Source organism: Homo sapiens, chromosome 21 (assembly GCF_000001405.40).
Source record: "Homo sapiens chromosome 21, GRCh38.p14 Primary Assembly".
Taxonomy (NCBI): Eukaryota; Metazoa; Chordata; class Mammalia; order Primates; family Hominidae; genus Homo; species Homo sapiens.
Genome location: NC_000021.9, coordinates 10,666,711 through 10,693,999, shown reverse-complemented (window position 1 = coordinate 10,693,999; position 27,289 = coordinate 10,666,711). Strand labels below are relative to the sequence as shown.

Below are 27,289 nucleotides of genomic sequence, written 5' to 3'. Positions count from 1 at the left end.
AATGGACCCGAATGGAATGGAATGGACTGGAATTCAATGCAATGGAATGGATTGGGCTCAAATGGAATGGAATGGAAAAGAATGGAATGGAATAGAATGGACTGGAGTGGAATGGGTTTGTATGGAATGGAATGGAACAGAATGGACTCAAACAGAATACCATGGAATGGAATGGACTCAAATACAATGGAATGGAATGGACTCGAAAGGAATGGAATGGACTCGAACGGAATGGAGTGGAATGGACTCATATGGAATGTAATGGCCCTCAATGGACTTGAATGGAATTAAATGTTATGGAATGGAATGAACTCGAATGGAATGTAACGTAAAGGAATGAAATGTGCTCCAATGGAAAGGAATGGACTCTAAAGGAATGGAGTGGAATTGAAAGGGTTGGAATAGAATGGAATGGAATGGAATGGAATGGAATGGAATGGAATGGAATGGAATGCAGTGGAATGGACACGAATGGAATGCAGTTGAATTGAATGGACCCAAAAGTAATGGAATGGAATGTTATGGAATGCAGTGGTCTCGAATGGAATGGAATAGAATGAACTTGAATGGAATGGAACGGACTCGAATGCAATTGAGTGGAATGGACTGGACTCTAATGGAATGGCATGGAATGCACGTGAATGGAATGGAATGTTATGGAAAATAAAGGACTCGAATGGAACGGAAAGAATGGAATGGACCAAAATGGAGTGCAATGGAATGCAATGGACTCTAATGGAATGGAATGGAATGGACCCGAGTGGAATGGAATGGAATGGACTGAAATGGAATAGCATGGAATGGAATGGAGTCAAATGAAATGGAATGGAAGAGACTCAAGTAGAATGGCTTAGAATGGAATGGACTCGACTGGAATGAAATGGAATGGACCAGAAATGAATGGAATGGAATGGAATGCAATGAAATGGAATGGAATGGAATGGAATGGAATGGAATGGAATGGAATGCAATGGAATGGAATGGAATGGAATGGAATGCAATGGAATGGAATGGAATGCAATGGAATGGAATGGAATGGAATGCAATGGAATGGAATGGAATGGAATGGAATGCAATGGAATGGAATGGAATGCAATGGAATGGAATGGAATGGAATGCAACGGAATGGAATGGAATGGAATGGAATGGAATGGAATGGAATGGAATGCAATGGAATGGAATGGAATGGAATGGAATGGAATGGAATGGAATGCAATGGAATGGAATGGAATGGAATGGAATGGAATGGAATGCAATGGAATGGAATGGAATGGAATGGAATGGAATGGACTCCAGTGGAATGGACTGGAATGGAATGGAATGGAACGGAATGGACCCAAAAGGAATGGAATGGACTTGAATGGAATGGAAAGGAATGGAAAGGAATGGACTCGAATGGAATGGAATGGACTCAAATGGATTGGAATGCAATGGACTCGAAAGGAATAGAAAAGACTCGAATGGAATGGAATGGACTGGACCCGAATGGAATGGAATGGACTGGAATGGAATGGAATGGAATGGAATGGAATGGAAATGACTGGAATGGATTTGAATAGAATAGAATGGAATGGAATGGAATGGAATGGAATGGAATGGAATGGAATGGAATGGAATGGAATGGAATGGAATGGACTCAAATGGAATGGAATTGAATGGACTAAAATGGAATGGAATGGACTCGAATGGAATGGAACGGAATTTAATGGAATGGATTCTAATGGAATGGAGTCCAAAGGAATGGAATGGAATTGAATTGAATGGAATAGAATGGAATATACTTGAATGGAAAGGAATGCAATGGAATGGACTCAAATGGAATGGAAAGGACTGGGCTCTAATGGAATGGAATGGAAATGAATGGTCTCAAAAGGGATAGAATGGAATGCAAAGGAATGGAATCGAATGGAATGGAATGGATTTGACTCGAATGGAATTGAATGGTATGGTCACGAATGGAATGGAATGGAGTGGAATGTACTCGAGTAGAATGGAATGGAAATGTATGGACTCGAATTGAATGGAGTTCAATGGAATGGACTTGAATGGAATGGAATGGAATGGATTTGAATGGAATGGAGTTGAATGGAATGGACTGGAATGGAATGGAATGGAATGGATTCGAATGGAATGGTTTGGAATGGAATAGACACGAATGAAATGGAATGGAATGGACTCAAATGGAATAGAATGGAATGGAATGGATTCGAATGGAATAGATTGGACTGGAGTGGAATGAAATTGAATGGAATGGAGTCGAATGGAATATAATGGAATGGAATGGACTCGAATGGAATGGAAAAGAATGCAAACAAATGGAATAGAATGCAATGGACACGAATGGAATGGAGTAGAATGGAATGGACTCGTATGGAATGGAGTGGCATGGACTTGAATGGAATGGAATTTAATTGAAAGGACTCGAAAGGAATTGAATGGAATGGACTCGAATGGAATGTAAAGGAAAGAAAAGGACTCGAATGGAATGGAATGGAAAGGAATGGACCCAATGGATAGGAATGGAGTGGAATGGAATGGAATGGAATGCATTCGAATGGAATGGAATGGAATTGACTCGAATGGAATAGAAACGAATGGACTCGAATAGAATGGAAGGCAATGGAATGGACTCGATTGAAATGGAAAGGAATTTAGTGAACTTGAATCAAACGGAATGTAATGTTATGGAATGGACTCCTATGGAATGGAGTGGAATGGCCCCGAATGGAATGTAATGGAACAGAAAGGAATGGGCTCGAATTGAATGAAATGGAGTGGACCTGAATAGGGTAGAATGGGATGGATTGCATTCGAATGGAATGAAAGGGAATGGAACCGACTGGAATGGAATGTAATGGAATGGAATGGAATGGAATGCAATGGAATGCAATGGAAGGGAATGTTATGGATTTGATTGGACATGAATGGAATAGAATAGGATGGAATGGAATGAATTAAAAAGGAATGGAATGGAATGGACTCCAATGGAATGGGAAGTCCAGGAATTGAATGGAATGGACTCAAATAGAATAAATTGGAATTTAAAGGAATGCAATCCAGTGGAATGCAATGGAATGGTCTCGAATGGAATAGAATGGAATGGAACAGAATGGACTCGAATGGAATGCAATGGAATCGAATAGAATGGAATGAAATGGACACGAAAGGAATGGAAAGGAATGCAATGAACTGGAATGGAATACAATGGAATTTTAATGGAAAGGACACTAATGGTGTGGAATGGAATGGACTTGAATGGAATAGAATGGAAAACACTCGAATGGAATGGAATGGAATGGAATGGAATGGAATGGAATGGAATGGAATGGACACCAATGGAATACAATAGAATGGACTCGAATGGAATGGAATGTAATTGGATGGACTCCAAAGGAGTCGGATGGAATACAATGGAATGGAATCCAATGGAATGGAATGGAATGGATTCGAATGGAATGGAATGCAATGGAATGGACTCAAAGGAATGGAATGGAAATGACTCAAAAGGACTTGAAGGGAATGGACCCGAATGGAATGAAATGGAATGGAATGGACTCGAATTGAATCCAATGGAATGGATTTGCCTCAAATGGAATGGAATGGAATGGAATGGAATGGAATGGAATGGAATGGAATGGAATGGAAAAGAATGAAATGGAACAGAATGGACTGGATTGGAATGGGTTTGAATGGAATGGACTCGAATGGAATGGAATGGAATGGACTCAAATGTAATAGCATGGAACGGAATGGATTCGAATACAATGGAATGGAATGGACTCAAATAGAATGGAATTAGCTCGAACGGAATGGAGTGGAATGGACCCATATGGGATGGAATTGTATTGAATGGACTAGGATGGAATTTGTTGTAACAGAGTGGAATGAACTCGAATGGAATGGAATGAAAATGAACGAAATGTGTTCGAATGGAATGGAATGGAATGGATTCGAATGGAATGGAGTGGAATGGAATGGAATGGAATGGAATGGACTTGAATGGAATGGAGTGGAATATACTGGACTTGAATTGAATGCCATGGAATGCACCCAAATGGAATGGAATGTTATGGAAAATAATGGACTCGAATGTAATGGAATGGAAAGGAATGGACCAAATTGGATTGGAATGCAACGCAATGGAGTTGAATGGAATGGAATGGAATGGACTCTAATGGAATGGAATGGAAAGGAATGGAATGGAATGGACTGGAATAGAATAGCATGTAATGCAATTGACTCGAATGCAATGGAGAGGAATGGACTTGAATGGAATGGAATGGAGTCGAACAGAATGGATTGGACTGCACTTGAATGGAATGGAATGGAATGGAATGGACTCGAAAGGAATGGAATGTAACGGAACGGAATGAACTCGAATGGAATGGAATGGAAAGGAATGAACCTGAAAGGAATGGAATGGAATGGATTGGGCTCGAATCGAATGGAATGGAATGCAATTAAATGGACTCAAATTGAAAGGAATGCAATGGACCCGAATGGAATGGAAAAGACTGGAATGGAATGGAATGCAATGGACTGGAATGGAATGGAATGGACTGGAATGGAAAGGAATGGATTCGAATGGAATACAAAGGAATGGAATGGACTGAAATGGAATGGAATTGAGTGGACTGAAATGGAGGGGAATGGACTCGAATGAATGGAATGGAATTTAATGAAATGGATTCTAATGGAATGGAGACCAGTTGAATGGAATGGAATTGACTCGAATGGAATGTAAAGGAATATACTCGAAGGGAATGAAATGCAATGGAATAAACTCGAATGGAATGGAATGGAATGGGCTCGAAAGGAATGTAACGGAATTGAATGGTCTCGAATGTGATGGAATTGAATTCAATGGAATAGAATCAAATGAAATGGAATCGAATTCACTCGAATGGAATTGAAGGGTATGGACCCGTATGGAATGGAATGGAATGGAATGGACTCAAATAGTATGGAATGGAAAGATATGGACTCGAATGGAACGGAATTGAAAGGAATGGACTTGAATGGAATGGAATGGAATGGATTCGAATTGAATGGTTTGGAAAGGAATGCACTTGAATGGAAAGGAATCAAATGGAATATAATGGAATGCAATGGACTCGAATGGAATGGAATGGAATGGACCCAAATGGAATAGATTGGACAGGAATGCAATGCAATTGAATGGAATGGACTGGAATGGAATAGAATGGAAGGGAATGGACCTAAATGGAATGGAAATGTATGGACTCGAATGGAATAGAATGCAATGGACTCAAATGGAATGGAGTGGAATGGAATGGACTCGAAAGAAATGGAGTGGCATGGACTTGAAAAGAATGGAATGGAATGGAATGGAATGGATTGGACTCGAAAGGATTGGAATGGAATGAACTCGAGTGGAATGGAATGGAATAGAATGGACACGAATGGAATGGAATGGAATGAAATTGAATGGATTCAAATTGAATGGAATGGAATGGAATGGAATGAACTCGAAGTTAATGGAATGGAAAGGAATGGACTCAACGGAATGGAATGGAATGGCCTCAAACGGAATGCAATTGAATTGAATTTACTTGAAAGAAATATAATGGAATGGAATGGAATGGAATGGAATGGAATGGAATCAAATGGAATTAAATGGAATGGACTCGAATGGAATGGACTGGACTCGAATGGAATGGAATGGACTGCACACAGGTGGAATGGAATGGACTCAGGTGGAATGGAATGGAATCCAATGGACTCGAGGGGAGTGGAGTGGAATGGACTCGAACGGTATGGAACGGAATTGAATAGAATGGAAAGGAATGAAATGGACTCGACTGGAATGGAATGGCATGGAAATGAGTAGAACATAATGGAATGGAAAAGAATGGACTCGAACGGAATGGAATGGACTCAAATGGAACGGAAATTACTCAAATGCAATGGAATGAACTCGAATGGAATGGAATGAAATGGAATGGACTTGAATGGAAAAGAATGGAATTGAATGGAATGGACTTGAATGGAATGGAATGGAATGGACTCGAATTGAATTGAATGGAATGGACACGAATGGAGTGGAATGCAAATTAATGGATTCGTATGGAATGGAATGGACTCAAATGTATTGGAATGGAATGGAAATGACTCGAATGGTTTGGAATGGAATTGAATGGACCCGAAAGGAAAGGAATGAGATACGATGGAAAGGACTCGAATGAAATGGAATGGAATGCAATCGAAGTGAATGGAATGGATTCGAAGGGAATGAACTCGAATGGAACGGACCTGAATGGAATGGAATGGGATGGTATGGACTCGAATGGAATATAATATAATGTACTCGAATGGAATGATATGCAATGGAAAGACCTTGAATGAAATGGAATGGAGAGGACCTGAATTGAATGGAATGGATTTGAATGGTCTCGAAAGAATGGAATGGAATGCAATGCAGTGCACTGGAATGCATTGGAATGGAATGGACTCAAATGGAATGGAATGGACTAGAAAGGAATTGAATGGAATGGAACGGACTCGAATGGAATGGACTCGATTGGAATTGAATGGAATGGAATGGACTTGAGCAGAACGGAATGGAATGGACATGAATGGAAAGGAATGGCATGGACTCGAATGCAATGGAATGGAAAGGAATGGAAAGGAATTTATTGGAATGCAATGGAATGGAATGGAATGTTCTGGAATGCAGTGGAATGGAATGGGATTAAATGGAATGGAATGGAATGGAATGGACCTGAATAGAATGGAATGGAATGACTTGAATACAATGGAAGGGAATGGACTCGAATGGAATGGAGTGGAATGCATTCGACTGGAATGGAATAGAATTGAATGGACTTGAATCAAATGGAGTATAATGCAATGGACTCGAATGGAATGGAATAGAATGGTCTCGAATGGAATGGAATGGAATGAACTCAAAGGGAATGAATGGAATTTAGTCAAATGCAATGGAATTGACTCAAATGGAATGGAGTGCAATTTAATGGACTCGAATGGAATGGAATGGAATGGAATTTAATGGACTTGAATGGAATGGAATGAAAAGGAATGGACTTGAATGGACTGGAATGGAATAAAGTGGACTCAAATGGATTGGAAGGGAATTGAATGGACTCAAAAGGAAAGGAATGGAATACGACGGAATTGACTCGAATGGATTGGAATGGAATGCAGTAGAATGGAATGGAATGGACTCCAAAGGAATGGAGTGGAATGGAATGGACTCGAATGGATAAAATTGAATGGGATGGACTTGAATGGAATGGAATGGGATGGACTTGAATGGAATGGCATGCAATGGCAAGTTCTTGAATGGAATGGAAAAGAAAGTATTCGAATGGAATGGAATGGAATTGAACGCACTCGAAAAAATGGAATGGAATGCAATCAAATGGACTGGAATGGATTGGAATGGAATGGACTCGAATGGAATGGAATGGAATCGAAAGGAATGGAAAGGAATGGATTGGACTCCAATGGAATGTAATGGAATAGACTCGAATGAAATTGAATGGAATGGAATGGACTCGAAAAGAATGGAATGTAATGGAACGGATATGAATGAAATGGAATTGAATGGACTCAAATGCAATGGAATGGAATGGAATGCACTCGAATGCAATGGAATGGATTGGAATGGAATGGAATGGACCTGAATAGAATGGAAAGTAATGGACTCCATAGGAATGGAATGTAATGGACGCGAATGGAATGAAATGGAAAGGAATGGAGCCTAATTGAATGGAATGAAATGCAACGGAATTGAATAGACTCGCATGGAATTGAATGGAATGGAATGGATTCGAATGGAATGGAATGCAATGAAATGGAGACGAATGGAATGGAATGGAATGGGGGGAAGTTGAATAAAGTGGAATGGAATGGAATGAAATTGAATGGAATGGAATGAACTTGAATGGAATGGAATGGAATGAACACAGATGGAATGGAATGTAATGGAAAGGAATACACTCAAATGTAATGCAATGTAATGTAATAGAAAGTAATGGACTCGAACTGAATGGAATGGAATGGACTCGAATGGAAAGGAAAGGTATCGAATGGAATAGAATGGAATGGAATGGACTCCAGTGAAATGGAATGCACTCAAATGGAATGGAATGGAATGAAAAGAATGGAATGGACTCGAATGGAATGGATTGGAGTGGAATGAACTCTAATGGAATGGAAGGTAATGGAATAGAATGGAGTCGAAAGGAATGGAATGGAATGGAAAGGAATGGACTCGAACAGAATGGAATGGAATACAATGGATTCGAATGAAATGGAAAGGTATGGAATGGACTCGAATGGAATGGAATGGTCTCCAATGGAATGAAATGGAATGGAATGGAATGGAAAGAAATGGAATGGAATGGACTCGAATGCAATGGGAGGGAAAGGACACAAATTCAATAGAATGGAATGGAAACTAATGTAATGGAATGAATTGGAATGGACTCGAATGGAATGGAATGGAATGCAGTCAAATGGAATGGCATGGCATAGAACAGTTTGGAATGGAATGGAATGGAATGGAATGGAATGAAATGGAATTGACTTGAATGGATTAGAATGGACTCGAAAAGAATGGAATGGAATGGAATGGAATGGAATGGAATGGAATGGAATGGAATGGAATTTATTGGTCTCGAATGGATTGGAATGGAATGGAATGGACTCGAATGCAATGGAATGGAATGGAATGGAATGGAATGGAATGGAATGGAATGGAATGGCATGGAATTGCCCTGAATCGAGTGGAGTGGAACGGAATGGAATCTAATGGAATAGAATGGAATGGACTTGAATTGAATGCAATGTAATTTAATGGACTCATAAGGAATGGAATGAAATGCGATGGAATGGACTCGAATGGAATGGAATGGAATGCACCCGAATGGAATGGAATGGACTCGAATGGAATTGATTGGAATTTAATGGACTAGAATGGATTTGAATAGAATGCACTCGAATGGAATGGAATGGACTCAAATGTAATGGAGTGGAATATAATGGAATAGAATGGAATGGAATGGAATGGAACGAACTCGAATGGAATGGAGTGGAATGGGCTCGAATGGGATGGATTCGAATGGAATGGAATCGAATGGAATGGAATGGACTCTAATGGAACGTAATGGAATGGACTCGAATGGAATGGAATGAAATGGAATCGATTGGAATTGAATGGAATGGAATGGACTCGAACGGAATCGAATATAATGGAACTGAAATGAATGGAAAAGAACGTAACGGAAAGGAATCAAATGCAGTGGGATGGGATGGAATGGAATGGAATGGAATGGAATGGAATGGAATGGAATGGATTGGAATGGAATGGACCTGAGTGGAATGGAATTGAATGGACTCGACTGGAATTTAATGGAATGGAACGGACTCAAATGGCATGCAATGTACTCGAATAGAATTGAATGTAATGGACTCGAATGGAAAGTAATGGAATGGAATGGAATCTAATGGGATACAATGGAATTTAATGGAATTGACTCGAATGGAATTGAATGGAATGGACAGAATGGAATGAATTGGAATGGAATGGAATGGACTCGAATGGAATGGAATGGAATGGACTCGAATGAAATATAATGGATTTGATTGGACACAAAGGGAATGGAATGTACACGAGTGGAACGGACTCGAATGGAATGGAATGGAATGGAGGATTCAAAAGGAATAGAATGGATTGGAATGGACTCTAATGGAAAGGAATGGAATGGACTTGAATGAAATGGAATGGACTCAAATAGAATGGAATGGAATCGAATCGAATAGAATGGAATGGAATGGAATGTCCTCGAATGGAATGAAATGGAATGGAGTCGAATGGAATGGAGTAGAATGGAATGGACTCGAAAGGAGTGGAGTGGAATGGATTCGAATAAAAAGGATGGAATTGAATGGACTCAAATGGAGTGGAATGAACCGATTGGAATGGACTAGAATGGAATGAAATGTAATGGAATGAAATGGACTCAAATGGAATGGAATGGAATGAAATGGAATGGATTGGAATTTTATGTAATGTATTTGAATGGACTCGAATGGAATGCAATTGAATTGAATGGACTCGAAAGGAATTGAATGGCAAGGAATGGAATGGAATCGAATAGAATGGACTCAACTGGAATGGAATGGAATGGACTCGAATTGAAGGGAGTGCCCTCGAATGGAATGAATGGAATGGAATCAATTCGAGTGGAATGGAATACGGAATGTAACGGAATGGACTCGGGTGGAATGGACTGGAATAGAATGGACTGGAATGGAATGGACTCAAATGGAAAGGAACGGATGGAATGCAATGGACTCGAATGGAATGGAATGGAATGGAGGGACTAGAGTTGAATAGAATACAATGGATTCGCATGGAACGGAATGCCCTCGAATGGAATGGAATGGAATGGAGTCAACTCGAGTGCAATGGAATATGTAATAGAATGGAATGGACACTAGTGGAATGGGCTGGAATGGAATGGAATAGAATGGAATGGAATGCACTCGAATAGAATGTAATGGAATGGACTCGAATGGAATGGAATGGACACGAATGGAATGCAATGGAATAGACTAGAATGGAATGGAATAGAATTGACTCGACTGGAATGGAATGGAGTCTAATAGAATGTAATGGAATGGAATGGAATGGAATGGACTCGAATGGAATGCAATGGAATGGCCCCGAATGGATTGCAATGGAATTGACTCGAATGGAATGGAATGGAAAGGAATGGTATGTAGTCTAATGGAGTGGAATGGAATGGACTGGAATGGATTCAAATGCAATGTAATGGAATTTAATGGACACGAATGGAATGGAATGGACTCGAATGGAATGGACGCGAATGGAATGGAATAGAATGGATTCAAAAGGAATAGAATGGATTGTAATGGTCTCGAATGGAATGGAATGGAATGGAATGGAATGGACTCGAATAAAATAGAATGGAATAGAATGGAATGGAATGGATTCGCATGGAATGAAATGGAATGGAGTCAAATGGAATGGAGTCTAAAGGATTCGAATGAAATGGAATGGAATTTTTTTTCTTTTTTTTATTTTGTTTTATTTTTTATTATACTTTAAGTTTTAGGGTACATGTGCTCATTGTGCAGGTTAGTTACATATGTATACATGTGCCATGCTGGTGCACTGCACCCAGTAACTCATCATCTAGCATTAAGTATATATCCCGATGCTATTCCTCCCCCCTCCCCCCACCCCACAACAGTCCCCAGAGTGTGATATTCCCCTTCCTGTGTCCATGTGATCTCATTGTTCAATTCCCACCTATGAGTGAGAATATGCGGTGTTTGGTTTTCTGTTCTTGCGATAGTTTACTGAGAATGATGATTTCCAATTTCATCCACGTCCCTACAAAGGACATGAACTCATCATTTTTTATGGCTGCATAGTATTCCATGGTGTATATGTGCCACATTTTCTTGATCCAGTCTATCACTGTTGGACATTTGGGTTGGTTCCAAGTCTTTGCTATTGTGAATAATGCCGCAATAAACATACGTGTGCATGTGTCTTTATAGCAGCATGATTTATAGTCCTTTGGGTATATACCCAGTAATGGGATGGCTGGGTCAAATGGTATTTCTAGTTCTAGATCCCTGAGGAATCGCCACACTGACTTCCACAATGGTTGAACTAGTTTACAGTCCCACCAACAATGAATTGAATGGACTCGAATGGAATGGAATGTAGCCGATTTGAATGGACTCGAATGGAAAGGAATGTACTGGAATGATATGGACTCGAATTGAATGGAATGGATTGGAATGGAATGAAATGGACTCGAAAGGAATGGAATGGAATGGCATGAAATGGAATGCAATGGAATGGAATGAAACGGAATGCAATGGAATGGAGTGAAATTGAATGGACTCGAATGGAATGCAATTGAATTGAATGGATTCAAAAGGAATGGAATGGAATGGAATGGAATGTACTCGAATGGAATGGAATGGAATCAACTCGAGTGAAATATGGAAAGGAATGGAATGGACTCGAGTGGAATGGGCTGGAATGGAATGGACCCGAAAAGAATGGAGTAGAATGGAATGGACTCGAATGCAACGGACACGAATGCAATGCAATGGACTCGAATGGAATGGAAAGGAATGGATCCTAATGGAATGGAATGGAATGGACTTGAAAGGAATGGAAATGAATGGACCCGAATGAAATGGAATGGAATGTATTGGAATGTACTGGAATGGAATGGAATGAAATGGAGTGGAATGGACTTGCCTGGAATAGAAAGGAATGGAACAGAACGGACTCGAAGGGAATGGAAGGAAATGGACTCGAATGGAATAGAATTGAATGGAATCGAAAGGAATTGAGTGGAATGGAATGGGCTCGAATGGAATGGAATGTAAGGTACAAGAATAGAATGGAATGGACTAGAATAAAATGGAAGGAAACGGACCCAATTGGAATGGATGGGAATGGAATGGAATGGAATGTACTTGAATGGAATGGAACGGAATGGAATGTACTTGAATGGAATGGAATGGAATGGAATGGAATGGAATGCAATGGACTTGAATGGAAGAGAATGGAATGGAATGGAACGGACACGAACAGAATGCAGTGGAATGGACTCGAATGGAATGGAATAGACTCGAATGGAATGGAATGGAATTTAATTGAACGGACTCTAATGGAATGGAATCTAATGGAATGGAATGGAATGGAATCGAACTGAATAGAATGGAATGGACTCGAATGGAATGGAATGGAATGGACACGAAAGTAATGGAATGGAATGGATTTGAATGAAATGGAATGGAATTGAATGGTCTCGAAAGGAATGAAATGGAATGCAAAGGATTGGACTTGAATGGAATTGAATGGAATTGACTCAAAGGGAATAGAATGGAATGCACCCTAATGGAATGGACTGGAATGGAATGGATTCGAATGGAATGGATTGGAATGGAATGGACCCGAATGGAATGGAATGGAATCTAATCGATTCGAGTGCAATGGAATGTAAAGGAATGGACCCGAATGGATTGGAATGGAATCTAATCGATTTGAGTGCAATGGAATGGAAAGGAATGGACCCGAATGGATTGGAATGGAATTGCCTCGAATGGAATAAACAGAAAGGACTCAAATGCAATGCAATGGAATGGATTCAAATGGAATGCAGTGGAAAGGAATCAAACGAAATGGAATGGAATTGATTGGACTTGAATCAAATGGAACGTAATGTTATGGAATGGACTAGAATAGAATGGAATGAATGGAATGAAATGGAGTCGAATGGAATAGAATGGAATGGAGGCACTCGAATGAAATGGAATGGAATGGAAGAGAATGCAATGGAATGAACTGGAATGGAATCTAATGGACTCGAAAGGAATGGAAAGGAATTTAATGGTATGGTGTCGAAAATCATGGAATGGAATGGACTCAAAAGTAATGGAATGGAATTGAAAAGAAGTCAGAGGAATGGAAAGGAATAGTATGGGCATGAATGTAATTGAATGGAATGGAATGGAAAGAAATGGTATCGAATGTTATGGAATGGAATGGACCCGAAAGGAATGGAAAGGAATGGAATGGAAAGGATTCGAATGGAGTAGAATGTAATGGAGTGGAGTGGAATGGAATGGAATGGACTCGAATGGAATGGAATGGAATGTACCCGAATGGAATGGAATGGACAGGAATGGAATGCAATAATGTGGAATGGAAAGGACTTGAATGGAATAGAATGGAATGGAATGGAATGGACTCAAAAGGAATGGGATGGAATGGACTCGAATGGAATGGAATGCACACGAATGGAATGGAATGGAGTCTAATGGACTTGAAAGGAATGGAACGGAATTTAATGGTATGGTATCGAAAATAATGGAATGGAATGGACTCAGATGGAATGGAATGGACTCGAAAGTAGTGGAATGGAATTGAAAAGAAGTGAGTGGAATGGAATGGAATAATATGGGCACGAATGTAATGTAATGGAATGGAATTGAAAGAAATGGACTGGAATGGAATGGAAAGAAATGGGCTCGAATGGAATGGGATGGAATGGACATGAAAGGAATGGAAAGGAATGGAATGGAAGGGATTCGAATGGAGTAGAATGTAATGGAGTGGAGTGGAATGGAATGGAATGGACTCGAATGGAATGGAATGGAATGTACCCGAATGGAATGGAATGGACAGGAATGGAATGTAATAATGTCGAATGGAAAGGACTTGAATGGAATAGAATGGAATGGAATGGAATGGACTCGAAAGGAATGGAATGGAATGGACTCAAATGGAATGGAATGGAACTTAAGGGAAAGGACTCCAATTGAATGGAATCCAATGGAACAGAAAGGAATGGAATCGAAGGGAATAGAATGCAATGGAATGCAATGGAAAAGACTGGAAAGGAATGGAATGGAAGTGACTCTAATGGAATTGAATGGAATGGGCTCGAATGGCATACAATGTAATGGACTCAAATGGAATGGTGTGGAATGGAATGGACTCGAATGGAATGGAGTTGAATGGACTCAAATGGAATGGAATTGAATGGACTCTATTGGAATGTAATATAATGCAATGAAATGGACTTGAAAGGAATGGAATGGAATGTACTCGAATTTAATGGAATGGAATGGAATGGAATGGACTCGAATGAAATGGAAAGGAGTAGAATGGACTCAAAAGGTATGGAATAGAATGCACATGAATGGGATGGAATGGAATGGAAAGGGCTCGAATTGAATTGAATGGAATGAAATGGATTCAAAAGGAATACAACAGAGTTTCATGGAATGCATTGTAATGGAATGGAATGGAGTGCACTCGAATTCAATAAAATGGACTGGACTCGAATGGAGTGGATTGTAACGGAATGGACTTGAATGGAATTAAATGGAATTGATGCAAATGTAATTGAATGGATTGGACCGGAATGGAATGGAATGGAATGGAATGGAATGGAATGGAATGGATTCGAATGGAATGGAATGGAATGGACCTGAATGGAATGGGTTGGAAAGGAATGGTCTCCAATGGAAAGGACTCAAAAGAATAGCATGGAATGGATTGGACTCGAATGCAATGGAATGGAATGGACTCGAATGGAATGGAAGAGACTTGAACGGAATGGAATGGAATGGAATAGACTCTAAGGGAACAGAATGGAATGCACTCGAATGGAATGGAATAGCAACGACTCAAATGGAATAAAATGGAATGGACTCGAATGGAATGGAGAGGAATGCAATGGACTCGAATGGGAATGTATTGGAATGGACTCAAATGGAATGGAATAGAATTGAATGGACTCGAATGGAATGGAATGTAGACGAATAAGATGGACTCAAATGGAATGGAATGGAATGGAATGGAAACAAATGGAATGGAATGGAATGGAATGGAATGGAATGGCATGGAATGGACTCGAATGGAAGGTAATGGTCTAGAATGGAATGGAAAGAATGGAATTTACTCGAATGGAATGGAATGGAATGGAATGGAATGGAAGGGAATGGAATGCAATGGACTCGAATACAAGGGATTGGAATGGACTCGAATGAAACGCGTTGGTATGGAATGTATTCGAATGGAATGGAATGGAATAGACTCAAATGGAATAGAATGGAATGGAATGGACTGGAATGGAATGAAATAGAATGGACTCGAATGAAATAGATTAGAATGGAATGGAATGGAATGGAATGGAATGGAATAGAATGGAATGGAATGGACTCAAATGGAATAGAACGTAATGGAATGGAATATACAAGAATGGCATGGACTTGAATGGAATACAATCGATTGGAATCGAATGGAATGGAAGGGAATGGAATGGTATCGAATGGATTGGACTCGAATGGAATGGAATGGAATGGACTCGAGTGGAATGGAATGGAATCGTATGGACTCAAATGGAATGGAAGGGAATGGAATGGAATGGAATGGAATGGACTCGAATGGGATGGAAAGGAATGAAAATGACTCGAGTGGAATGGAATGAAATGGAATGGACTCGAATAGAATGGAATGGAATGAATTTGAATGGAAAGGAATGTAATGTACCTGAATGAAATGGAAGGGAATGGAATGGAAAGGATTCGAATGGAATAGAAGGGAGGGGAGTGGAATGGAGTGTAATGGATTGGACTGGAATGGAATGGAGGGGAATGGTCCCAATGGAATGGAATGGAATGGAATGGACTTGAATGGAATAGAATGGATTTGAATGGAATGGACTCAAAAGGAATAGCATGAAACGGACTCAAATGGAATGGAATGGACACAAATGGAATGGAATGGAATGGACTCGAATGGAATACAATAGTATTTAATGTAATGGAATCTAATGGAATGCAATGGAAAGGACTCGAATGGAATAGAGTGGAATGGACTGAAATGGAATGGAATGCAATGGAATGGACTAGAATGGAATGGAATGCAATGGAATGGACTCGAATGGAATGGAATAGAATTGACTCGAATGGAATTGAATGGAATGGACAAGAATGGAAATTAATGGAATGGAATGGAATGGTCTCGAATGGAATGGAGTGGAGTGGCATGGACTCGAATGGAATGGAATGGAATGGAATGGATTCGAAAGGAATGAAATGGAATGGAGTCGAAAAAAATGGGTTGGAATGGAATGAACTCGAATGGAATGGAATGGAATGTACTCAAATGGAAGAGTATGGAATGGAATGGACTGGAATGGAATGCAATGAAATGGACTCGAATGGAGTGGAATAGACTCGAATGGAATGGAATGGGATGGACTCGAATGGAATAAAATGCAATGGAATGAAAAGTACTAGAGTGGAATGGAATGGACAAGTATGGAATGGAATGGAATCAAATGGTACGTAGTGGAATTGAATGGACTGGAAGGGATTGGACTCGAATTCAATGGAATGGGATGAACTCGAATGGAATGGAATGTAATGAAATGCACTCGAGTGGAATAGAATGGAATGGACTCCAATGGAATAGAATAGAATGGACTCAAATGGAATAGAATGGAATGGACTCCATTGGAATGGAAGGGAATGGAATGTACTCGAATAGAATGGAATGGAATGGAATGGAATGGAATGTATTGGAATAGAATGGAATGGAATGGAAAGGAAAGGTATGGAATGGAATGGAATGGAATTTAAATGGAATGTACATGAATGGTAAGGAATTGCATTGAATGGACTCAAAAGTAATGGAATGGACTCTAATGGAATGGAGTGGAATGGAATGGACTCGAATGGAATGGACTCGAATTTAATGGAATGGATGCGAATGGAATGGAATGGACTCGACTGGAATGGAATGGCATCGAAGGGACTCAAAAGGAATGGAATGCAATGGAATGGAATGGAATGGAATGGAATGGAATGGAATGCACTTGAATGGAATGGAATGGAATGGAATGCACTTGAATGGAATGGAATGGAATGAAAATGACTTGAGTGGAATGGAATGTAAAGGAATGGACTTGAATGGAATGGAATGGAATTGATTGGAAAGAAAAGAAATGGACCTGAAAGAAATGGAAGGGAATGAAATGGAAAGGACTCAAATGGAATAGAATGGCATGGACTGGAATGTAATGGAATGGAATACACTCGAATGGAATTGTATGGAATGGTCCCAATGGAATGGAATGGAAAGAAATGGAATGGACTGTAATGGACTAAAACGGAATGGAAAGGAATGTACTAGAATGTAATGTATTGGAAAGCAATCGAATGGAATAGAATGGAATGGAATCAAATGGAATGGAGTGGAATGGAATGGACTCGAATGGAATGGACTCAAATGCCATGGAATGGACTCGAATGGCATGGAAAGGAATTTAGCCGAGCGGAAAGGATTGGAATGGAATGGAATGGAATGGAAAGGAATGGAATGGAATGGAATGGAATGAAACGGAATGGAATGGACTTGAATGGAAAAGAAAGGATTGGAATGGAATGGACTCGAAAGGAATAGTACTGAATGGAATCGAATGGACTCGAATAGAATGGACATGAATGGAATGGAATGGAATACAATGAAATTTAATGGAATGGACACGAATGGAATGGATTGGAATGGAAATGAAAGTAATGGAATGGAATGGAATGGACTCAAAATGAATGGAATGGAATGCAATGAAATGCACTCGAATGGAATAGAATGGAATGGAATCGAAAGGAATGGAATCGAAAGTAATGGAATGGAATTAAATGGACTCGAAATGAATGGAATGGAATTAATTTAATGGACGGGAATGTAATAGAATGGAATGGAATAGACTCGAATGGAATGGAAAGGAATGGACTCGAAAGGAATGCAGTTGAAAGGAATGGTATGAAATGGAATGGAATGGAATGGAATGGAATGGAATGGAATGGAATGGAATGGAATGCTATCAAATGGAATGGAATGGATTTGAATGGAATAGAATGGACTCGAATGGTATGGAATGGAGTGTAATCGACTCGAGAGGAATGGAATGGAATGGAGAGCACTCGAATGAAATGGAATGAAATGGAATGGACATGAACCGAATGGAATGGGTGGGAATGGAATGAACTCCAGTGAAATAGAATGGAATGGAAACGAGTGGAATGCAGTGTAGTGGAATGGACTCGAATGGGTTGGAATGGAATGGACTCGAAATGGTTGGAATGGAATGGCCTCGAATGGAATGGAATGGATTGGATTGAAATGAAATAGAATGGATTGGAATGGAATAGAATGGAATGAATGGAATGGACTCGAATGGAATGCAATGGAATGGAATGGACTCAAATGGAATGGAATGGACTTGAAAGAAATGAATGGAATGGAATCGACTCAAGTGGAATGGAAATGAATGGAATTGACTCCAATTGAGTGGAATGGAATGGAATGTCCTCGAATGGAATGGGATGGATTGTACCCGAATGGAATGGAATAGAATGGAATGGACTAGAAAGGAACACAATGGAATGGATTGGAATGGACTCGAATGGAATTCTACGGAATGGAAAGGACCTGAAAGCAATGGAATGGAAGGGAAGGGAATAGAAAGGAATGGGATGGACTCGAATGTAATGGGATGGACTCGAATATTATGGAATGGAATTAACACGAATGGAAAGGAATGGACTAGAATGGAATGTAATGGATTAGAATTGTAACGAATTGAGTGGAATGGAATGGAATGGAATGGAATGGACTCAAATGGGACGGAATGGAATGGACCCGAATGAAATGGAATGGAATTGAATGGTATGGACTCAAATGCAATGGAATGGAATTGACTGGAATCGAGCAGAATGGAATTGAATGGAATGGACTCGAAGAGAATGGAATAAAATGGACCCAAATGGAATGGAATGGAATGGAATGGAATGGAATGGAATGGAATGGAATGGAATGGAATGGTATTGAATGGAATGAACTTCAATGGAACAGAATGGAATGGAATGGAATGGAATGGAATGGAATGGATTTGACCCGTATGGAATAGAGTGGAATTTAATGGAATGAACACTAAAGGATTGGAATGGAATGGACTCGAATGTAAGAGAATGGAATGGACTCGAATGGAAAGGAATATAACGGAGTGGACTCGAATGGAATGGATTGGAATGAACTCGAAAGGAAGCAATGTTATTCAAAGGAAGGGACTCGAATGGATTGGAAAGGAATGGTCCTGAAAGGAAAGGAATGCATTGGAATTGACTCAAATGGAATGGAATTGACTGGAATTGAATTGAATGGCAGGGGACAGACTCAAACGGAATAGAATGGAATTCAATGGAATGGAATGGAATGGAATGGAATGGAATGGACTCGAATGGAATGGAATGGACTGAAATGGAATAGAATGGAATGGAATGGACTCGAATGGAATGGAATGGACTCGAATGCAGTGGAATGGAATGGAATGGACTCGATAGGAATAGAATGGAATGAAATGGAATGGACTCGAATGGAAATGAATGGAATGGAATTGAATGGAATAGAATGGAATGGAATCGAATGGAAGGGATTGGAACGAAATGGACTCGAATGGGTTGGAATGGAAAGGACTCGAATGGAATGGAATGCAATCGACTCAAACGGAACAGAATGGAATGGAATGGACTCGAATCGAATGGAATGCAATGGACTCGAATGGAATAGAATGGGATGGACTCGACTGGTATGGACTGGAATGGAATGGACTCAAATGGAATGGAAAGTAAAGGAATGGAATGGACTCGAATGGAATGGAATGGGATGGAATGGACCCAAATGGAATGGAGAAGATTTGAATTGAATGGAATGCAATGGAATGGAATGGACTCGAAAGGAATGCAATTGTATTGAATGGAATTGAAAGGAATGGAATGGATTAGACTTGAATGGAACGTACTCGAATGGAATGGAATGGAATGGATTCTAATTGAAAGGAATGGACTCGAATGGAATGGAATGGAATAGACTCAAATGGAATAGAATGTAATGGAATGGACTCGAATGGAATGGAATGGAATGGACTCGAATAGAATGGAATGGAATGGAACCGAGTGGAATGGAATGGATTGGAATGGACACGAATGTCATGGAATGGACGCCAATGGAATAGAATTGAAGGAAATGGAATGGAATGGACTCAAATGGAATGGGAAGGAACGGAATGGAATGGAATGGAATGGAATGGAATGGAATGGAATGGAATGGAATCAACAGGAATGGAATGGAATGGAATGGAAAGGAAAGGACTCGAATGGAATGGACTCAAATGGAATGGAATGGACACGAATGGAGTGGAATGGAATAGAATGGACTCAAATGGAATGGAATGGCCTCCAAAGGAAGGGAGTGACATTTAATGAATGCATTCTAATGGAATGGCATGGAATGGACTGGAATGGAATAGAATGGAATGGATTCGAATGGAGTGGAATATAATGGTGTGGACACGAATTGAATGGAATGGAATGGAATGGACTAGAAAGGAATCGAATGGAATGGACTAGAATGGAATATAATGGAATTCAATGGAGATGAAAGGAATGGAATGGAATGCAATGGAATGGACTTGAATCGAATGGAATGGAAAGTACTCAAATGGAATTAAACGGACCAGAATGGAATGGAATGGAATGGAACAGTATTGAATGGAATGGAAGGGAATGCAATTTAATAGAATGGAATTGAATGGAATGGAAAGGATTGGAATGGAATGGACTTGAATGGAATATTACGGATTGGAATGGAATGGACTCGAAGGCAATGGAAAGGAATGGACTTGAATTGTGTGGAATGTCCTCGAATGCAATTGAATGGAATTTAAGGGAATGGACTCTAATGAAGTGGAATTTAATGGACCCAAATGGAATAGAATGGAATGGACTTGAATGGAATGGAAAGGAAGCGAAGGGACTTGAAATGAAAGGAATGGAATGGAATGGACTCGAATGGAATGGAATGGAATGGACTCGAATGGAATGGAATGGAATGGAATGGATTCGAAAGGAATACAATGGACTCCAATGGAATGGAATGGAATGGAAATGACTCGAGTGGACTGGAATGGAATGGATTGGACCCCAATGGAATGGAATGGAAAGTACACTAATGGAATGGAATGGAATGCAATGGAGTGGAATGGAACCAACAGGAATGGAATGGAATGGAATGGAATGGAATGGAATGGAATGGACTCGAATGGAATGGAATTCAATGGACGCCAAATGAATGGTATGGCCTCGAAAGCAATGGAATGGAATTTAATGCAATGGACTCTAATGGAATTTATTCTAATGAAAAGGAATTTAATGCACTTGAATGAAATAGAATGCAATGGACTCGAATGGAATGGAAAGGATTCGAATGTACATGAAATAAATGGAATGGAATGTACTGGAATGGAATGCAATGGATACGAATGTAATTGAATGGATTGGACTCGAATGGAATGGAATGGACTCAAGTGGTATGGAATGATATGGAAACGAGTCGATTGGAATGGAATGGCCTCGAATTGAATGGAATGGAATGTACTCGCATGGAATGAAATGGAATGGAAAGGACACAAAAGGAATGAAATGGAATGCAATGGAATGGAATGGAATGGAGTCGACTGGAAAAGAATGGAAAGAACTGGAATGGAATGGATTGGAAATGATTGGAATGGAATGGAATGTCCACAAAAGGAATGGAATGGAATGGACACGAATGGAATGGAGTGGAATTCAATGGATTGGAATGGAATGGAATGTCCACAAAAGGAATGGAATGGAATGGACACGAATGGAATGGAGTGGAATTCAATGGATTGGAATGGAATTGAATGGTATGGAATGGAATGGACTTTAATGGAATAGAATGTTATGGAAAGGAATGGATTCAAAAGGAAGGGAATGGAATGGACTCGAATGCAATGGAAGGTACACGAATGGAATGGAAAATAATTGAACGGAATTCAGTGTAATTTAATGGAATGGAATCTAATGGACTGGAATGGAATGGACTCGATTGTAATGGAATGGAATTGAATGGACTTGAAAAGAATGGAATGGAATGAAATGGAATGGAATCGAATGGAAAGGAATATAATGAACTCGAAAGTAATGGAATGGAACTGAATGGACTCGAAAGTAATGGAATGGAACTGAATGGACTCGAAAAGAATGGAATGGAATGCAATGGAATGGAACAGAATGGAATCGAATGGATTGGAATGCAATGGCTTGGACTCCAATGGAATGGAATGGAATTGACTCAAATGGTATTGAAATGTATGGACCCGAATGGAATGGAATGGAATGGAACAGACTCGAATTGAATGGAATGGAGTGGAATGGAATCGAATGAAATGGAATGGAATGAACTCAAATGGAATGCAATGGAATGTACTCGAAAGGAAGGGAAAGAAATCGAATGGAATGGAATGGTATGGAAACGACACTAGTGGAATGGAATGGAATGGAAAGGAATGGACTAGAATGGAAAGGAATGTAATGGACTCGAATGGAATATAACGGAATTAAATTGACTCGAGTGGAATGGAATAGAATGGAATGGACTCTAATGGAATGGAAAGGAATTGACTCGAATGGAATAGAAAAGAATGGACCCAAAAGGAATGGAATGGAATGGACTCGAATGGAATGCATTGGAATGGAATGGAATTGAATGGACTAGAATACAACGGAATGTCATGGTATGGAATGGACTCGAATGGAATGGAATGAAATGGAATGAAACGGAATGGAATGGAATGGAATGGAATGGAATGGAATGGAACAGACTCAAGTGGAATGGAATGGACTCGAATGGAATGGAATGGAATTGACAGGACTCGAAAGGAATGGAATGGAATGGACTGGACTCGAGTGGAATGGAATGGAATGGAATGGACTCGAATTGAATGGAATGGAATTGACAGGACTCGAAAGGAATGGAATGGAATGGAATGGAATGGAATGGAATGGACTCAAAAGGAATGGAATGGATTGCAATGGAATGGAATGGATTGTGCTCGAATGGAAAGAAATGGAATGGACTTGAATGGAGTGGAGTGGAATAGAATTGACTGAAATAGAAGGGAAACTACTCAAGTGGAATTCAATGGAATGGAATGGACTAGAATGGAATGGAATGGACCGAAAAGGAATGCAATGAATGAAATGGAACGGACTCGAATGGAATGAAATGGAACGGAATGGACGGGAATCGAATGGAATGTAAAGGAATGGACTCGAACGGAATCGAATGGCATGGACTCGAATGGAATAGAATGGAATGGATTCGAATGGAAGGGATTGGAATGAAATGGACTCGAATGGGTTGGAATGGAAAGGACTCGAATGGAATGGAATGCAATCGACTCAAACGGAACAGAATGGAATGGGATGGACTCGAATGGAATGGAATGGATGGACTCGAATGGAATGGAATGGATGGACTCGAATGGAATGGAATGCAATGGACTCAAATGGAATAGAATGGGATGGACTCGACTGGTATGGACTGGAATGGAATGGACTCGAATGGAATGGAAAGTAACGGAATGGAATGGATTCGAATGGTATGGAATGGAATGGAATGAAATGGACTCGAATGGAATGGAATGGGATGGAATGGACCCAAATGGAATGGAGAGGATTTGAATTGAATGGAATGCAATGGAATGGACTCGAATGGAATGCAATTGTATTGAATGGAATCAAAAGGAATGGAATGGATTGGACTTGAATGGAACGTACTCGAATGGAATGGAATGGAATGGACTCGAATTGAAAGGAATGGACTCGAATGGAATGGAATGGAATAGACGCAAATGGAATAGAATGTAATGGAATGGACTCGAATGGAATGGAATGGAATGGAATGGACTCGAATAGAATGGAATGGAGTGGAACCGAGTGGAATGGAATGGATTGGAATGGACACGAATGTCATGGAATGGACGCCAATGGAATGGACGCCAATAGAATGGAATGGACCCAGATGGAATGGAATGGAATGGAATGGAATGGAATGGAATGGAATGGAATGGAATGGACTCGAAAGGAATGGAACAGAATTGAATGGACTCTAAAAGAATGGAATGGAATGCAATGGAATACACTCAAATGGAATGGATTGGAATACACTCGAATGGAATGGAATGTGAAGGAATGAACTCGAATGGAATGCAATGGAATTGACTCTAATGGAATTGAAAGGAATGGACCAGAATAGAATGGAATGATATGGAATGGAATGGAATTGAATGGAGTGGAATATACTCGAATGGAATGGAAAGGAATGGAATGGATTCGAACGGAATGGAATGGAATGGACTCGAATGGAATGGAATGGATTCGAATGGAATAGAATGGAATGGACTCGAATGAAATGGTTTGGAATCAAATGGAATCGAATGAAATGGAATGGAATGGACTCAAATGGACTTGAATGGAATGGAATGGACCCGAATGGAATGGAAAGGAATTGAATGGAATGGAATGGAATGGAATGGAATGGAATGGAATGGAATGGAATGGAATGGAATGAAATGCAATGAAATGGACCTAAATGGAATAGAATGAAATGGAATTGCATGGACTCGAAGGGAATGGAATGCAATGGATTTGAATGGAATGGAATGGACTCCAAAAGGAATAGGACGGAATTTATTGGAATGGAATCTAAAGTAATGGAATCTAATGGAATGGACTAGAAAGGAATGCAATGGAATGGACTCGAAAGGAATGGAATGCAATGGATTTGAATGGAATGGAATGGACTCCAAAAGGAACAGGATGGAATTTATTGGAATGGAATCTAAAGTAATGGAATCTAATGGAATGGACTCGAAAGGAATGTAATGGAATGTACTCGAAAGAATGAAATGCAATGGAATGGAATGGAGTCGAATGGAATGGAATGGACTCGAAAGGAATGGAATGGATTGGAATGGAGTGGAAAAGACTCGAATGGAATGCAATGACCTGGACTGGAAAGGAATGGAATGGAATTGAATGGAATAAAAAAATGGAATGGAATGGAATGGAACGGACACAAATTGAATGGAATGGAATAGACTCTAATGGAATGGAATGCAATGGAACGGACTCAAATGGAATTGAGTGGAATGGACTCGAGTGGAATAGAATGTAATGGACTCAAATGGAATGGTGTGGAATGGAATGGCTTGAAAGAAATGGATTGGAATGGACTCGAATGGAATGGAATAGAATGGACCTGAATGGAATGGAATGGAATGGAATGGAATGGAATGGAATGGAATGGAATGGAATGGACTCGAATGGAATGGAATGGAATGGAATGGAATGGAATGGACTCGAATAGAATGGAAAGGAATTGAATGGAATGGACTCGAATGGAATACAACGGAATTAAATGGAATGGACTCTAACGGAATGAAATGGTGTGGACTTGGATGGAATGAAGTGGACTGGACTAGAGTGGAATGCTATGCAATGTAATGGATTCAAATTTAAAGGATTTGAATGGACTAGAATGGAATGGAATGGAATGGAATGGAATGGAATGGAATGGAATGGATTCGAAGGCATTGGAATGAAAAGCAATGGAATGGACTCGAATGGAATGGAATGGAATGGACTCGAATGGAATTGAATGGATTGGAAATTAGTGTAATGTAATGGAAAGGAATGGACTCGAATGGAATGGAATTGAATGGACTCGAATGTTATGGAATGGAATGGAATGGATTCGAATGGATTTTAATGGAATGGACTCGAATTGAATCGTCTTGATTGGAATGGAATGGAATGGACTCAAAAGGAACAGCATGGAATGGAAAGGACTCAAATGCTTGGAATGCAATGGAATAGCATGCAATGGATTGGATCCAAATGGAATAGAATAGAATGCATTGGAATGGAATGGAATGGAATGAAATGAAATAGAATGGAACGGAATGGACTCGAATGGAATGGAATGGAATGCAATGGAAGGGACTCGAATGGAATGGACTACAATGGACTCGAATGGAATGGAATGCAATGGAATGGACTCGAATGGAATGGAATGGAATGAGCTCAAGCGGAATGTAATGGTATGGAATGGAGATGAATGGAATGGAATGGAATGGAATGGAATTGCTTTGAATGGAAGGAACTCTAATGGAATGGAATGGAATGGAATCAAATGGAATCACACGGAATTGAATGGATTCAAATTCAATGGAATGGAATGGAATCGAAAGGAATAGAGTGCGCTCAAACGGAAAGGAATGGAATGGAATGGAATGGAATGGAATGGAATGGAATGGAATGGAATGGATTCGAATGGAATGGAATGGAATAGACTTGAATGGAGAAGAATGGAATGGACTGCATTGAAATGGACTGGAATGTAACGGACTAGAATGGAATGGAGTGGAATGGACTTGAATGAAATGGAATGGAATCCAATGGACTTGTGTGGAAAAGAATTGAATGGAATGAAATGGACTCAAAAGTAATGGAATGGAATGGACTCGAGTGGAATGGAATGGACAGGAATGGAAAGGAATTGAATAGAATGGACTCAAATGGAATACAATGGAATTTAATGGAATGGACTCTAATTTAATGGAATGGAATGGACTCGAATGGAATAGAATGGAGTGGATGACAATGGAATGGAATGCAATGGAATGGACTCAAATGGAATGGACTCGAATGAAATGGAATGGAATCGAATAGTCTCAAAAGGAGTCGAATGGAATGCAATGGAATGGACTCGAATGGAATGGAATGGAATTGAATGGTCTCAAATGGA

General features: G+C 39.9%; 8 annotated features.

Annotated features, from left to right (window-relative positions):
- Positions 10,218-11,150: an enhancer, noted in NCBI's record as "NANOG hESC enhancer chr21:10828675-10829607 (GRCh37/hg19 assembly coordinates)". NCBI's record gives its function as "activates a minimal SCP1, AML or CMV promoter by ChIP-STARR-seq in naive H9 embryonic stem cells {active_cell/tissue: H9 hESC(naive)}" and the evidence as "EXISTENCE:reporter gene assay evidence [ECO:0000049][PMID:30033119]".
- Positions 14,766-15,427: an enhancer, noted in NCBI's record as "OCT4-NANOG hESC enhancer chr21:10833223-10833884 (GRCh37/hg19 assembly coordinates)". NCBI's record gives its function as "activates a minimal SCP1, AML or CMV promoter by ChIP-STARR-seq in primed H9 embryonic stem cells {active_cell/tissue: H9 hESC(primed)}" and the evidence as "EXISTENCE:reporter gene assay evidence [ECO:0000049][PMID:30033119]".
- Positions 15,428-16,087: an enhancer, noted in NCBI's record as "OCT4-NANOG hESC enhancer chr21:10833885-10834544 (GRCh37/hg19 assembly coordinates)". NCBI's record gives its function as "activates a minimal SCP1, AML or CMV promoter by ChIP-STARR-seq in primed H9 embryonic stem cells {active_cell/tissue: H9 hESC(primed)}" and the evidence as "EXISTENCE:reporter gene assay evidence [ECO:0000049][PMID:30033119]".
- Positions 17,410-18,070: an enhancer, noted in NCBI's record as "OCT4-NANOG hESC enhancer chr21:10835867-10836527 (GRCh37/hg19 assembly coordinates)". NCBI's record gives its function as "activates a minimal SCP1, AML or CMV promoter by ChIP-STARR-seq in naive H9 embryonic stem cells {active_cell/tissue: H9 hESC(naive)}" and the evidence as "EXISTENCE:reporter gene assay evidence [ECO:0000049][PMID:30033119]".
- Positions 18,071-18,730: an enhancer, noted in NCBI's record as "OCT4-NANOG hESC enhancer chr21:10836528-10837187 (GRCh37/hg19 assembly coordinates)". NCBI's record gives its function as "activates a minimal SCP1, AML or CMV promoter by ChIP-STARR-seq in naive H9 embryonic stem cells {active_cell/tissue: H9 hESC(naive)}" and the evidence as "EXISTENCE:reporter gene assay evidence [ECO:0000049][PMID:30033119]".
- Positions 19,164-19,672: an enhancer, noted in NCBI's record as "OCT4-NANOG hESC enhancer chr21:10837621-10838129 (GRCh37/hg19 assembly coordinates)". NCBI's record gives its function as "activates a minimal SCP1, AML or CMV promoter by ChIP-STARR-seq in naive H9 embryonic stem cells {active_cell/tissue: H9 hESC(naive)}" and the evidence as "EXISTENCE:reporter gene assay evidence [ECO:0000049][PMID:30033119]".
- Positions 19,673-20,180: an enhancer, noted in NCBI's record as "OCT4-NANOG hESC enhancer chr21:10838130-10838637 (GRCh37/hg19 assembly coordinates)". NCBI's record gives its function as "activates a minimal SCP1, AML or CMV promoter by ChIP-STARR-seq in naive H9 embryonic stem cells {active_cell/tissue: H9 hESC(naive)}" and the evidence as "EXISTENCE:reporter gene assay evidence [ECO:0000049][PMID:30033119]".
- Positions 24,214-25,091: an enhancer, noted in NCBI's record as "OCT4-NANOG hESC enhancer chr21:10842671-10843548 (GRCh37/hg19 assembly coordinates)". NCBI's record gives its function as "activates a minimal SCP1, AML or CMV promoter by ChIP-STARR-seq in primed H9 embryonic stem cells {active_cell/tissue: H9 hESC(primed)}" and the evidence as "EXISTENCE:reporter gene assay evidence [ECO:0000049][PMID:30033119]".